The sequence below is a fragment of the Homo sapiens genome, chromosome 9 (assembly GCF_000001405.40).
Source record: "Homo sapiens chromosome 9, GRCh38.p14 Primary Assembly".
Lineage (NCBI taxonomy): Eukaryota > Metazoa > Chordata > Mammalia > Primates > Hominidae > Homo > Homo sapiens.
Genome location: NC_000009.12, coordinates 34039430 through 34052064, shown reverse-complemented (window position 1 = coordinate 34052064; position 12635 = coordinate 34039430). Strand labels below are relative to the sequence as shown.

Sequence of the window (12635 nt, the reverse complement as noted above, 5' to 3'; positions counted from 1 at the left end):
ACCCCTCAGAGCCAGCCACTGTTATCAAGTTTGTATATTCCTTTCAGAATCCTTTTCTCCTGATCTGTCATTTTTTTTCTTTTTGAGGCGGACTTTTGCGCTTGTCACCCAGGCTGGAGGGCAATGGCATGATCTCAGCTTACTGCAACCTCCGCCTTCCAGGTTCAAGTGATTCTCCTGCCTCAGCCTCCCGGGTAGCTGGGATGACAGGCACCCGCCACCATGCCTGGCTAATTTTTGTATTTTTAGTAGAGACGGGGTTTCACCATGTTGGCCAGGCTGGTCTTGAACTCTGGACCTCAGGTGATCCGCCCGCCTTGGCCTCCCAAAGTGTTGGGATTACAGGCATGAGCCACCATGCCTGGCCTGATCTGTCCATTAAGTCTTTGACTCTCAAGGGTGGTTTTTATCTCTGATGCTCCCACACATTTCTATAAAGCAGCAGGGCAAACAGGAGGAAGACGAACAGACAAGACACAATCCTAGCTCATTGTCAAAAGAGGTGAGATAAGATACACCTACACATGAATGGTGATGATGATAAGTTCTGTTTTTTTTTTGTTTTTTTTTTTTTGAGATGGAGTCTCACTCTGCCTCCCAGGCTGGAGTGCAGTGGCACAATTTTGGATCACGACAACCTCTGCCTCCTGGGTTCAAGTGATTCTCCTGCCTCAGCTTCCCAAGTAGCTGGGATTACAGGCGCCCGCCACCACGCCCGGCTAATTTTTTGTATTTTTTTAGTAAAGACAGGGTTTCACCATGTTGGCCAGGCTGGTCACAAACTCCTGACCTCAGGTGATCCACCCACCTTGGCCTCCCAAAGTGCTGGGATTACATGCGTGAGCCATCACGCCCGGCCCAGTTCTGTTTGTTAAAGGCACAGTTTAAGCATTCTTTGTTTTTTTTTTTGTTTGAGACAGAGTCTTGCTCTGTCGAACAGCCTGGAGTGCAGTGGTGCTATCTTGGCTCACTGCAACCTCCACCTCCTGTGTTCAAGTGATTCTCCTACCTCAGCCTCCTGAGTAGCTGGGATTACAGGCGTGTGCCACCACGCCAGGCTATTTTTTTTTTTTTTTTTTGAGACGGAGTCTTGCTCTGTCGCTCAGGCTGGAGTGCAGTGGCGCGATCTCGACCCACTGCAAACTCCGCACGCCATTCTCCTGCCTCAGCCTCCCGAGTAGCTGGGACTACAGGCGCCCGCCACCACGCCCGGCTAATTTTTTTGTATTTTTAGTAGAGACTGGGTTTCACCGTGTTAGCCAGGATGGTCTCGATCTCCTGACCTCGTGATCGGCCCGCCTTGGCCTCCCAAAGTGTTGGGATTACAGGCGTGAGCCACCGCGCCCGGACATTTTTTTGTATTTTTAACAGAGACGGGGTTTCACCGTGTTGGTCAGGCTGGTCTCAAACTCCGTATCTTGTGATCCGCCCTCCTCCGGCTCCCAAAGTGCTGAGATTACAGGTGTGAGCCACCACGCCCGGCAGCATTCTTTAATTCAGATGAATAACAAAGGCTTTATTTGAACTAGATAGGGCTGTTTAAGATGTCAATTGTTTTACTTAATAACTAGCAAATTAGTAATTAGCATAGTGCCCTGTACAAAGTTCAGTATAAGCTAATTTCCCCTTTCTACCTTACTTAGACCTTTTGGGCCCGATGGGTAGAGTGTGAAAATGATTACTGATACTTACTGAGGGTTTATTATGTGTCAAGCAGGCATTTTACATAATCTCATTTAATTTTCACAAGCCGGTGAAGTGTTATTACAGAGGAAAGCTCCAATTGAGATAAGGCATGCCGGGACTGCAAAGTCCTTGTATGTAACTAGCTTGGGATAAAACAGGCCAGTAAGTAGACCTTGAGAGCTTGTTTAGAGGACCTTGAGAGCTTGTTAACACGGGCGTGCAGCTACTCCTATATCCTTGACTTGTCCTCTTCTATGGGGGATGCTCCTCCTTTTCGACCGAATATGCAGCTTCGGGAGGGACGCACATGGAGAGGTGCGGGAGGAAGGGGCCACCCGCCTAGACAGCCAGATCAGCCGAATCAGCCCTGGCGATCTATGGGGTGACAAGATAGCCAGAACGCCCTCACATCCAAACAGGCCAGTAAATGGAAAATACTTTAAAACACCATGCTACAATTATAAACCATCATCTTATTTATTCGTAATTCTTGGAGTTGACAACAGGTCAGATCCTATTGAGAGGAGGTCATTAATTTTCTAAAGACAGAAAACCTGGGTCTCTTCGGTCAACAAACAACTCTAAGGTTCTTTTTTTAAATCCTTAAATAGGGAAAATCCTGGACTCAAGGAGTTGATTATATGATATAACAGAAATAAACGGCTGACTTGGAGTAGGCGTTCAGTAGATTCTAGTCTTTTCACCCAGAAGGGGCTTGGGAGGGCAAAAGTAAAACCGCACTGAAAAAGACTAAAAGTGGGCGCACCTTCCGCCTTGCCGAGGCTCTCGCTGCTAGCCGTTGGCGTTTTCCCGCGCAGGGGGCAGGGCGCAGAGCGAGCCCAGGAACGTGGGAGCGGAACCCCACCCCCCGCCAGGACTACACCTCCCAGCAGGCACCACGCTCCGCCACATGGCGGGCGGCATCCAATGGTATTAGTCCTTCAAGCCAGCTTAGTCCGCTTTCCGTCCCGGCCTTCCCTCGGCTCTAAGGTCTCTAGGGGGTTCGTCTAGAAGCCCGCTGGAGAAAGGCTGCGGTAGGGGTCGCCTTGGCTGTGCAGCATGTTGGGAGTCGTGGTCCCCTCGTGCAACATTTGGGAGGCCAGGCTTGCCCTGAGTGGTTGGACCACATCACGTGATGAGCACAGGGCGGCCACAGGGGAGTAACCTGTGGTGCTTTGTGAGGTCATCACGGCGCGACGACGAGCTGCAGTTGTGGGCACCTTGTATGCGGTGGGTAATACTCTCCTGATGACTCCGAGTACAATACATATTATCAAGTCTCCCTTATTTGTTCCTTTCTGTGGTCCCCACCTCCACGCGGTTGGCTTCGCGGGGTTGGGGTGGAGGTGGTGGCTGGAAGAGGCCGCGCGCCGCCTAGGCTGACTCTGAAGCCGCGCACGAGCGACGTGTTGTGGCTCCTCCTTCGCCCGTGACGCGAGGTCACGTGACGGGTTGGGCAGCCTGTGCCGCCGCCGCCGCTTTGTAAGAGGCACATTGGCAGGTAACGAGCGGCGGCGGCGGCAGCGGGTCTTGGGTCCTCCGAGAGCAGCAGCGGTAATTGCCATCCTCTCCCTCTCCTTCCCTCTTCCAGGGCCCTGAGCGCTGCAGCGTGTGCTTTCTAATTCTGGGTTCAGCTCGTCTGAAACCCCACCGCCTGCAGACTGCCCCGGCGCCCACCCGTGAGGACCGGGCCGAGCTTCACTCGCCAGGTCCACGGTCCCTCTACGTCCAGGCCCGGGCTCCCTCCTTCCTCTTCCCCTCACGTTGCCCTGTGCTTCTTCCTACTTTCCCCCGTCCAGGTCGGCTGGGCCCCACCCAGCCCCAGGGGTGCCTCCCCTCCCCCCTTTCGGGTTTCTGCCCTGGAGGGTGTGGTTTTCTCTCCCACCTCGGTGCCTGCCAGTAGACTGGAGCTTCCCCGCCACGCTGTCGGTCCCATCTCATCACCTTTCCGCTTTCACGCCCGTAGCTAGTCTTGGGACTGGCCCTGTTATAGCCCCAACTTATGCGCTCTCTAACCTTTCCTGGCTTACCCGGAGTCACAGTTCAGTTCTACTTCTTTTCAATTCTGTAGGGCATTGGTCTCAATTGGGACTCAGTTTTCCTCCACACCCGCCGTTCCTGTAGTCTGGTTATATCACAGTTCATTATTTAATGTAGGTTTTTGAGCGCTTTGTAAACGGCAAAGCTCTCTCTGTTAATAATACATACTCAAAATGTTATTCTTTCATTGGTGCATTACAACTCAGTTGTTTGCCTCTGAATCACTTTCCCACTCGGCTTTTCCACATTTTCCCCTGAGTTTTTAGTCTAATTAGTTGCCCACGCATCTCAACTGTCACCACTCTGGTCTCTAATGCTTGCTCGCTTTAGGGGTTGATCCCATCATTATTACTGTTATTTCCTGTTTGATGTAATCCAGTCATTTACTACCACTTCTATTGGATATTGTTTTTACCTCACATTCAAGGAAGGTATATGGTTTGCCAGTATTTAGGCTTATTGTCTTTCTACAGCACCAGTGTATCCTAACAGTTGAGAGATTTTAAAAAATTACTATTAATTTTAGAGATATGGTCTCCATATGTTGCCCAGGCTGGCCTCCAGCTCCTGGGTTTAAGCGATTCTTTCACCTCAGCCTCCTGAGTATCTGGGATTACAGTGTGCACCACGGTGCTCAGCTAGTTGAGGGTTTTTTCAGGTCTCCATAAGGTATCCAAAGATTATCTTTTATTTGAAGGGCATATAATTTCTTGGGTGAACCCAGTTCTTATATTCCTCTTCCGTTGTGACAGCACTTTTTTCAACAAGGGGTATGCGACTAGTTATTGCATTCCTCACTTTTCACTGTGAATTGTGTATCCGTTTTAGTGCCAGTTTGTGAAAGGTGGAAGGAAGTTGAACATGATACCTAAGCTCTCCCGTATCCTACATTGGTGTGTTCCCCTTTTACCTCAGGAAAGGGAATGTATTCCACTCCCTGGAGATGATAGTTTCCTTCAATACACTCACCTGTGGAGCCCCTTCGCTAGGGTTGTCCTTCCATTGCTTTGAAGGCTTCTCTTATCATTAGGCAGAAGTGATTAGTTTCCCAAACTGCCCTTTTGCTTGCTGCCAGCATACTCCTGATTTTCCTACTTATGGCTAGTTGATACGTGTGACGAGAGATTTTCCCACAGCGCTGATTTCCCCCATTTGCTTCCCTGTTGCCTCTCACCCTCAATAATTATGAAACCTTTCAGAGAAGGAAGGTTTTTGTTGTGATTGAAATATGCCCGAAAGTGGTGGCATGGGAGAGAATGAGGCCATGGGAAAGGGTTGTGGTAATTGCCTCTCTTGCCTGTTTCCTGCTGCTCTGGTTTCCTCTGTCCTCCCTTTAAATGTGGGCTGGATCAGCAGTAGTCACATGGAGTTGCCTTTAGAACTATATTGGAACAACAATAACACCTCTGCTTCCCTTTCCTGGTTACTAGTGCAGTCTATGTAGTGATCACCAGGAGTGTCTCTCTTAGTATTAGCCTGAGTGACTTTTATTGTATGGGGAGAAATGGTGTGATGGTGTGAGAACATGTAGACTAATAGGTTTATTTCAATATGTACTTGTATTGTGATGGGAACTGGTCCCGGTATCTACCCTCTTAAGTATAAAATATGTGTAGAAAGTACAAACCTTTCTTGAAGGTTTGGAGTGGTCTGAAGTGAAGCCTTCTTTTTTTTTTTTTTTTTTTTTTTTTTTTTGAGATGGAGTCTTGTTCTGTCGCCCAGGCTGGAGTGCAGTGGCCTGATCTCGGCTCACTGCAAGCTCCGCCTCCCGGGTTCACGCCATTCTCCTGGCTCAGCCTCCCGAGTAGCTGGCACTACAGGCACCCACCACCACGCCCGGCTAATTTTTTGTATTTTTCAGTAGAGATGGGGTTTCACTGTGTTAGCCGGGATGGTCTTGATCTCCTGACCCCGTGATCCGCCTGCCTCCCAAAGTGCTGGGATTGCAGGCGTGAGCCACCCCGCCCGGCATGAAGCCTTTACTTCTAAAATGTTAGCTTTGAATTGTTGATTTCCCAGTCCTCTTTTTTTTTTTTTTAAATGATGATTTATTGTTAAGATTTCCTTTGTTAATAAGACACTTTGTGGGGTTGGGGGGTGGGGGTGGTTAAGTATATTAGCAAGGGTTAATGCCTGCTCTAAAGAAGCAGTCTGCAGGCATTTACAGATTGTAAAGTTCTCTGCCCTTAAGCACATCTGTCTTTATTTTTCCTTGTGAGAAACCTGTATGTCAGCAAATACCCGTTCATTCTTAGTTGTTATTTTGAGTAAATGGAGCTCTTAGTTGTTATTTTGAGTAAATGGAGCGTTCTTAAAAGCTAAGTGTTATGGTACCCATGGTGTTGACTGGTAAGTTAGTAGATCTCTGATAGATTTTAGAAGCAGCCGTTTTTTCCAAAGAGTGGAGATACAACCTGAAGGAAGGCAAAGAGAGGGAGGACATGTAGGGAATATCACCATGTAATCTTTGTGGTAGATTTTGAAGTAATTTTGCCCCAACTATCAAGTATTTAGGAATAGGATCCTTTTTTTACTAACTCAAAGAATCAAATTTATCAGATTAGTTTTTACAATTTTAATGTAAACCACTTATGCTGATATTTCCTGCTGAGTTTACTTGACATTTTTTAAGTTTCTCAAAGATGCTCCTTAAAAATTTTCTTTTGTGACTGGGCACTGTGGCTCATGTCTGTAATCCCAGCACTTTGGGAGGCGGAGGCGGGCGGGTCACGAGGTCGGGAGTTCGAGACTAACCTAACCAACATGGTGAAACCCCGTCTCTACTAAAAATACAAAAATGAGCCTGGTGTGGTGGCGCGTGCCTGTAGTCCCAGCTGCTCCAGAGGCTGAGGCGGTAGAATTGCTTGAACCTGGGAGGTGGAGGTTGCTGTGAGCCATGTGCCATTGGACTTCATCCAGCCTGGATGGAGCAAGACTCCGTCTCAAAAAAAAATTTTTTTTTTAATTTTTATTTTTTTCTACCCTTTTTTTTTTTTGAAGACAGTCTCACTGTTGCCCAAATTGGAGTGCAGTGGTGCAATCTCGGCTCACTTCAAGCTCCGCCTTCTGGGTTCATGCCATTTTCCTGCCTCAGCCTCCCGAGTACCTGGGACTACTGGCGCCTGCCGCCACGCCCGGCTAATTTTTTGTATTTTTATTAGAGACGGGGTTTCACAGTGTTAGCCAGATGGTCTTGATCTCCTAACCTCGTGATCCGCCCGCCTCGGCCTCCCAAAGTGCTGGGATTACAGGGGTGAGCCACGGCGCCCAGCCTTTTTTTACCCGTTTGTAAACAATGTTTGATAAGTTTCCATTTTTTGATAACTAATTTTCATGCTGGACATAGCATAATTGAATTGGAATCCAGTTAACTATTTGGATTTGAAGTATGAAATAGGGCTCACATTAAGGAGTAGAGTAGGTGTTTTATTTAAGACTAGGTAATACTCTTCATTTATTTATTTATTTATTTACAGATGGAGTCTCGCTCTGTCACCCAGGTTGGAGTGCAGTGGTACGATCTTCGCCCACTGCAACCTCTGCCCACCGGGTTCAAGTGATGCTCCTGCCTCAGCCTCCTGAGTAGCTGGGGTTACAGGCGCCTGCCAACACACTTGGCTAATTTTTGTAATTTTAGTAGAGATGGGATTTCACCATGTTGGCCATATTGGTCTTGGAACTCCTGACCTCAGGTGATCCACCTGCCTTGGCCTCCCAAAGTGCTGGGATTACTTGCGTGAGCCACCACACCTGGCTTCTTCTTTTATTTTTATTTTCTTGAGACAGTCTTTCTCTGTCGCCCAGGCTGGAGTGCTGTGGTGCCTTGGCTCACTGTAACCTCTGCCTCCCTGGCTTAAGTGATTCTTGTGCCTCAACTTCCCAAGCAGCTGGGACTACAGGCATGCATCACCACGCCCAGCTAATTTTTTTTTTTTTTCGAGACAGAGTCTTGCTCTCTTGCCCAGGCTGGAGTGCAGTGGCGCTATCTCGGCTCACTGCAAACTCCGCCTCCCAGGTTCACGCCATTCTCCTGCCTCAGCCTCCCGAGTAGCTGGGACTACAGGCGTGTGCTGTCAAGCCTGGCTAATTTTTTGTATTTTTAGTAGAGACAAGGTTTCACCGTGTTAGCCAGGATGGTCTTGATCTCCTGACCTCGTGTGTGATCTGCCCGCCTCGGCCTCCCAAAGTGCTGGGATTACAGGCGTGAGTCACCGCGCCCGGCTAATTTTTTTTTTTTTTTTTTTTTTTGAGGTGGAGTTTCATTCTGTCACCCAGGCCAGAGTGCAGTGGTGTGATCTCTGTTCACTGCAATCTCCGCCTACTGGGTTCAAGCGATTAGCCTGCCACCGTGCTCTGATAATTTTCGTATTTTTTGTAGAGACAGGATTTTGTCATTTTGGCCATGCTGGTTTTGAACTCCTGACCTCAGGTGATCCACCTGCTTCGGCCTCCCAAAGTGCTGAGATTACAGTTGTGGACCACTGTGCCTGGCCTTTTTTTTCCCCCTGAAACATGGAGTATATGTTTAAAAAAAAAAAAAGTTGGAGCCTGGCTCCATGGCTCCTGCGTGTAATTCCAACGCTTTGGGAGGCTGAGGTGGAAGGATTTCTTGAGCAGGAGTTCGAGACCAGCGTGGGCAATATAGTGAGACCCTGTCTCTATAAAAAAAATGTAAAAATTAACTGGGCATGATTGCATGTACCCAGAGTCCCATCTACTTGTGAGGCTGAGGTGGGAGGATTGCTTGAGGCCACAGTGAGCTATGATTGTGCCATTGCACTCCAGCTTGGGTGACAGAGTGAGACCCTATCTCCATAAATAATAGGATCATACTTTGCATACTTGCTGATTTTTATTGAAAAATACAGCATAGTTTGGGTGTGGTGGCTCATGCCTGTAATCCCAGCACTTTGGGAGGCCGAGGCAGGTGAATCACTTGAGCCCAGGAGTTGGAGAGCAGCTTAGACAACGTGGCAAAACCCTGTCTTTACTAAAAATACAAAAATTAGCTGGGCATGGTGTGCTTGTAGTCCCAGCTACTCAGGAGGCTGAGGTTGGAGGATTGCTTAAGCCTGGGTGGTTGAGACTGCAGTGGGCTGTGATTGTGCCACTGCACTTCAGCCTGGGTGACAGACCCTGTCTCAGAAGAAAAACCCAAAAAACAGCATACATACCGTAGATGATATATGAGGCATAAAAACATGTAGAGTTGTCATTGTATAACGTAGAAGGTGGTTGGGGGTAAACACATATGTAGAGTTGTTTTTTTTGGAGACAGGGTCTTGCTTTGTCGCCCAGGATGGAGTGTCTTGGCATGATCATGGCTCACTGCAGCCTCTATCTCCCAGGATTAAGGCATCCTCCCACCTCAGCCTCCTGAGTAGCTTGGACCACAGGGATGCATCACCATGCTCAGCTAATTTTTCTTTTTGTAGAGAGGAGTCTTGCTATGTTGCCCAGGCTGGTCTCTTAGGCTAAAGTGATCCTCCTGCCTTGGCCTACTAAAGTGCTGAGATTACAGGTGTGAGCTTAATGCCTGGCCCCATATGTAAAATTAAAAAAAAAAAGTAAAATGAACAACCAAGAAATAGGACATTACTGCTACCTGGAAGTCTCCTGTGTATGCCAGCTCCCAAGGCATTTCTTTTCGCTTTCCTTGAGGTAACCATTACCCTACATTATAGGTTTACTATTCCTTTGTGTTGTTGTTTTAAAATAGAGACAAGGTCTAGCTATGTTGCCCAGGGTGGTCTTGAACTCCTGGACTCAAGTGATCCTCCTGCTTGGCCTCCCAGAGTCCTGGGATTATAGGTATGAGTCACTCTGCAGGTTCTACTGTTCCTTTTTTTTTTTTTTTTTTTGAGACGGAGTCTTGCACTATCGCCTGGGCTGAAGTGTAGTGGCCCGATCTCAGCTCACTGCAACCTCCACCTCCCAAGTTCAAGCGAATCTCCAGCCTCCATCTCCCGAGTAGCTCGGATTATAGGTGCCCGCCACCACGCCTGGCTAATTTTTTGTATTTTTGGTAGAGATGGGGTTTCACTGTGTTGGCCAGGCTGGTCTCAAACTCCTGACCTCATGATCCGCCCACCTGAGCTCCCAAAGTGCTGGGATTACAGGCATGAGCCACCACCCCAGCCTACTGTTACTTTTTTACAATAATTTTACCTTATATGTATATCCGTAAGCAACATATGGTTTAATAGTGCCCATTTTCAGTCTTATTCTCAATGTAAGAATTGTATGATTCTTCTGATGCTTGATTCTTTCACTCTTACATGCTTGAGATTTATCCATGTTGATTTCTTTTTTTTGAGATAGGGTCTCAGTCTGTTGCTCAGGCTGGAGTGCAGTGGCTCGATCCTGGCTCACTGCAACATTCACCTCCCGGGTTCAAGCGATTCTCCTTCCTCAGCCTCCCAAATAGCTGGGACTACAGGTGCCCGCCACCATGCCTGGCTAATTTTTGTATTTTTTGGTAGAGACGGGGTTTCCTTGTGTTAGCCAGGCTGGTCTCGAACTCCTGACCTCAGGTGATCTGCCTGCTTCGGCCTCCCAAAGTTCTGGTATTACAGGCATGAGCCACTGCACCCAGCCCCCATGTAGATTTCTTTTTTCTTTGTTTTGTTTTATAAGACGGAGTCTTGCTCTTTTGCCCAGGCTGGAATGCCAGTGGCACGATCTCGGCTTCTCAGCTCACTGCAGCCTCTGCCTCCTTGGTTCAAGCAATTCTCCTGCCTCGGCCTCCCGAGTAGCTGGGATTACAGACACCTGCCACCATGCTCAGCTAATTTTTGTATTCTTAGTAGAGACGGGGTTTCACCATGTTGGCCAGGCTGGTCATGGACTCTTGTTTGTTTTTTTTTTTTTTTTTGAGATGGAGTTTGCTCTTGTTGCCCAGGCTAGAGTGCAATGGTGCGATCTTGGCTCACTGCAACCTCTGCCTCCTGGGTTCAAGCAATTCTCCTGCCTCAGCCTCCCAAGTAGCTGGGATTACAGGCAGGCACCACCATGCCTGGCTAATTTTTTTTTTTTTTTTTGCATTTTTAGTAGAGCTGTGGGTTCACTATGTTGGGCAGGCTGGTCTCGAACTCCTGACCTCCAGCGATCTGCCCACCTCGGCCTCCCAAAGTGCCGGGATTACAGGTGTTAGCCATCGTGCCCGGCCCGTTGATTTCTTATAGTAGTATGAGGTTACATTGTAAGGATGTGCCATATGTTGTCTATTTCATTGTTGATGGATATTTGTCTCATTTCCAGTTTTTTGAGATTACCAATTTTACTTGTCCTCATGTGGACATTTGCCACCCTGCCCACAACAAACAAAGTCCATTTTCTCAAGACTACATAACTGAGAGTGGAATTTTTGGTTTGTATGTAGGGTATGTGTAACTTTTACTAAGTAATGCTAAAGTGTTTTCCACATGTTGCACAGTTGTTCTCAGGCTTGTCAGCTGAACCACAGAACACAGAAAGTTGAGTTACTATTTTCTCAAATCTGTCAAGGATGGTACATAATGAATTTCATTCTAGGTGTCTGGAAAAAGTTCAGCTTATACACAGAGTGGATGCCCTAAGAATTGGGAATTCATTCTCAAAGACTGAGTGGTTTAAGAGTTCTACATCCTTGCCAACATTTTATGTTGCCTTTTTAGTTTTAGCCAATTGTAGTGGGATGTTCTAGATATATCTTTCATGAACGCCACATAGCTGGATTTTGCTTTGTTAAGTTAGCAACTTGCTAACTTCTTTTTAATTAATTAGAGTGTATCGCTATGTTGGCTGGGCTGGTCGTGAACTCCTGGGCTCAAGTGATCTTCCCACCTCACCCGCACAAAGTGCTGGGATTGTAGGAGTGAGCCATCAGCTAACCTCTTTAACTAGAGCATGGAGACCATTCATATCTGTTGTAATTACAGATATTTTGGATATATGTCTGCCATTATATTTAGTCTTCTAGTTGGCTGGCCTGTGTGTTTGTTTTCTGTCCCTTTTTTTTTTTTTTTTTTTTTTTTGAGACAGAGTCTCATTCTGTCACCCAGGCTGGAGTGCAATGGCGTGGGCTCGGCTCACTGCAACCTCCGCCTCCCGAGTTTAAGGGATTCTTCTGCCCCAGCCTCCCTAGTAGCTGGGACTACAGGCACGTGCCACCACACCTGGCTAATTTTTTTTTTTTTTTGAGACGGAGTCTAGCCCTTGTCGCCCAGGCTAGTGTGCAATGGCGTGATCTTGGCTCAACGCAACCTCCGCCTCCTGGGTTCAAGTGATTCTCCTGCCTCAGCCTCCCAAGTAGCTGGGATTACAGGCATGTGCCACCATGCCCCCGGCTAATTTTGTACTTTTAGTAGAGTCGGGGTTTCTCCATGTTCATCAGGCTGGTCTTGAACTCCCGACCTCAGGTGATCGCCCGCCTCGGCCTCCCAAAGTGCTGGGATTACAGACGTGAGCCACCGTGTGCGGCTTGTATTTTTTTTTTTTTTTTTTTTTTTTTAGTATTTATTGATCATTCTTGGGTGTTTCTCGCAGAGGGGGATTTGGCAGGGTCATAGGACAATAGTGGAGGGAAGGTCAGCAGATAAACAAGTGAACAAGGGTCTCTGGTTTTCCTAGGCAGAGGTCCCTGCGGCCTTCTGCAGTGTTTGTGTCCCTGGGTACTTGAGATTAGGGAGTGGTGATGACTCTTAACTGCCTTCAAGCATCTGTTTAACAAAGCACATCTTGCACCGCCCTTTATCCATTTAACCCTGAGTGGACACAGCACATGTTTCAGAGAGCACGGGGTTGGGGGTAAGGTTATAGATTAACAGCATCCCAAGGCAGAAGAATTTTTCTTAGTACAGAACAAAATGGAGTCTCCTATGTCTACTTCTTTCTACACAAACACAGCAACAATCTGATTTCTCTATCTT

General features: G+C 47.5%; 1 protein-coding gene and 1 pseudogene across 9 annotated transcripts in view, besides 7 other annotated features; one reads left to right on the top strand and one right to left on the bottom strand.

The window, feature by feature from the left end:
- Positions 644-1498: an enhancer, noted in NCBI's record as "NANOG-H3K27ac-H3K4me1 hESC enhancer chr9:34050565-34051419 (GRCh37/hg19 assembly coordinates)". NCBI's record gives its function as "activates a minimal SCP1, AML or CMV promoter by ChIP-STARR-seq in primed H9 embryonic stem cells {active_cell/tissue: H9 hESC(primed)}" and the evidence as "EXISTENCE:reporter gene assay evidence [ECO:0000049][PMID:30033119]".
- Positions 1499-2355: an enhancer, noted in NCBI's record as "NANOG-H3K27ac-H3K4me1 hESC enhancer chr9:34049708-34050564 (GRCh37/hg19 assembly coordinates)". NCBI's record gives its function as "activates a minimal SCP1, AML or CMV promoter by ChIP-STARR-seq in primed H9 embryonic stem cells {active_cell/tissue: H9 hESC(primed)}" and the evidence as "EXISTENCE:reporter gene assay evidence [ECO:0000049][PMID:30033119]".
- On the bottom strand, positions 1821-2099 carry RN7SKP114 (RN7SK pseudogene 114; annotated as a pseudogene).
- Positions 2356-3211: an enhancer, noted in NCBI's record as "NANOG-H3K27ac-H3K4me1 hESC enhancer chr9:34048852-34049707 (GRCh37/hg19 assembly coordinates)". NCBI's record gives its function as "activates a minimal SCP1, AML or CMV promoter by ChIP-STARR-seq in naive and primed H9 embryonic stem cells {active_cell/tissue: H9 hESC(naive and primed)}" and the evidence as "EXISTENCE:reporter gene assay evidence [ECO:0000049][PMID:30033119]".
- Positions 2546-3075: an enhancer, noted in NCBI's record as "active region_28304". NCBI's record gives its function as "activates an Ori minimal core promoter by ATAC-STARR-seq in GM12878 lymphoblastoid cells {active_cell/tissue: GM12878}" and the evidence as "EXISTENCE:reporter gene assay evidence [ECO:0000049][PMID:35858748]".
- The window catches only part of UBAP2 (ubiquitin associated protein 2), a 127507-nt gene continuing 117737 nt past the window's right edge, over positions 2866-12635 (top strand). For 6 of the 9 annotated variants that reach the window (NR_163243.2, NM_001370068.2, NM_001370067.2 and 3 more), the window contains exon 1: positions 3178-3240. The gene's annotated coding sequence lies outside the window, so the exon portion shown is untranslated. The other 3 variants (NM_001370059.2, NM_020867.2, NM_018449.4) reach the window with 3 other exon arrangements.
- Positions 3106-3195: a silencer, noted in NCBI's record as "silent region_19841". NCBI's record gives its function as "represses an Ori minimal core promoter by ATAC-STARR-seq in GM12878 lymphoblastoid cells {active_cell/tissue: GM12878}" and the evidence as "EXISTENCE:reporter gene assay evidence [ECO:0000049][PMID:35858748]".
- Positions 3212-4068: an enhancer, noted in NCBI's record as "NANOG-H3K27ac-H3K4me1 hESC enhancer chr9:34047995-34048851 (GRCh37/hg19 assembly coordinates)". NCBI's record gives its function as "activates a minimal SCP1, AML or CMV promoter by ChIP-STARR-seq in naive H9 embryonic stem cells {active_cell/tissue: H9 hESC(naive)}" and the evidence as "EXISTENCE:reporter gene assay evidence [ECO:0000049][PMID:30033119]".
- Positions 3346-3395: a silencer, noted in NCBI's record as "silent region_19840". NCBI's record gives its function as "represses an Ori minimal core promoter by ATAC-STARR-seq in GM12878 lymphoblastoid cells {active_cell/tissue: GM12878}" and the evidence as "EXISTENCE:reporter gene assay evidence [ECO:0000049][PMID:35858748]".